General features: G+C 41.5%; 1 annotated feature.

Moving 5' to 3' along the window:
• Positions 346–1,048: an enhancer, noted in NCBI's record as "NANOG hESC enhancer chr2:17240233-17240935 (GRCh37/hg19 assembly coordinates)". NCBI's record gives its function as "activates a minimal SCP1, AML or CMV promoter by ChIP-STARR-seq in naive H9 embryonic stem cells {active_cell/tissue: H9 hESC(naive)}" and the evidence as "EXISTENCE:reporter gene assay evidence [ECO:0000049][PMID:30033119]".

The following is a 1,435-nucleotide window of genomic DNA, read 5'->3' as shown; positions in this document are numbered from 1 at the left end:
TCTCATTTGAGGACTCAGAGTTTCTTGAGTATGCAGTGTGGCAGCTTAGAAAATTCCTTCTTTCCTTTATCCTCCCTTCCTTTCTTCCTACTTTCCTTCTCGCCTCCCTTCCTTTCTTCCTTTTTTCCTTTTCATTTGTTTCTTCCTGTTCCTCATACACATTTGGTGCTCAGATATTTAGAAATGGCCCATAGATGATGATGATACATAGCACAATTTAAAAGACATCCAGCTTCAATGAGACTCATTTTTGATTAAAAAAAAAAATACCACACAATTGGCAAAGATTCAAAGTCATCTCCATGTCATGGTGCATGAAGGGAACACCTGTTAGGGTTGCCCAGCTGTGACTAGCGCAAAAGTTATGTGTCTCTCTAAGCTTTATTTTTGCCTTAGACCAGCTGTCTAAATGATCCTCTCATTCAGTGAACTGGTTAGGGCTGCATTGAAGAGCAGGAAGGGAACTTGAATGGGATCCTTAACACTTAACTTTTTCTTGCATACAGAAAGATAAAAGAATAATAGCTAGATGCATGGAAAAAACATGATGTAAACTCTCAGTTGTCTTCCTCTGCTTTTCCTTCCTCTCACCTGTTTCCTTCCCAATGTCTGCACTAGACTGGGTCTCCAGAAATGGCCCCATGGCACTCTGTTTTTTTTTCTTTTTATAGTCTTTCATACTTCTCTTCAAAGAGGCTTGGAGAATGCCTTTTGTTACCACCAGCACTTAGCAGGGTCCTGCTGAGCAAGTAAGCTCCCAAGGGCCTGTCAACACTTTCTCTCAGCAGTTAGCTGCCTCACACTTTGACAGTCATACATTCCCGCGAAGTGAAAGTCCTTCTCTGCTGAATCAGGGCATGGAAATAAAGGAGCCGAAGGAGCAAGGCAGGTAGGCTGGAACAGCTGGTAAGATTCTTTGTGACTGAGGTGGGTCTCTTCAAGTCAGTGGCTCCCTGTCAGAGTTGGGGCTGGATTAACATCTGTGACATAAACAAATGGGTGGATGAAGTACTGATTACCTCCTTTTGTCCTGCTCAAAGGATTGCTTAATCAGCAAAGAATCACACTATATTTTTAAAGCAGGAAATACAATTTTGAAAAATAGTTTTCAAGAACACTAAACAATTCTTAATTTTTGAACATATAGCTACAATTACAGTGCAATAGAATGGGAAGTACTTTCAGAAATAAGCCTGTCCAGCCATTTAAAGATAGATATACTGAGGCACAGAGAAAAAAAGGGGGACTTTCAAAGACCATGCATTTGTGGATTCTTGATCTGGAATGGTATAGAACAGGGCTTCTCAACCTTGCTGCTATTGCATTCAGCACTGAATAGTTATTTATTATGGGAGGCTGTCCTGTGTACTGGAGAAGCTTTATCAGCATCCCGGTCTTCACCCTCTGGATGCCTGTGGCAGCCCTTCCAAAGTCA

Source organism: Homo sapiens, chromosome 2, assembly GCF_000001405.40.
Source record: "Homo sapiens chromosome 2, GRCh38.p14 Primary Assembly".
Taxonomy (NCBI): domain Eukaryota; kingdom Metazoa; phylum Chordata; class Mammalia; order Primates; family Hominidae; genus Homo; species Homo sapiens.
The sequence above is the reverse complement of the archived record's forward strand: the minus strand, read 5'-3'. Positions and strand labels throughout refer to the sequence as shown.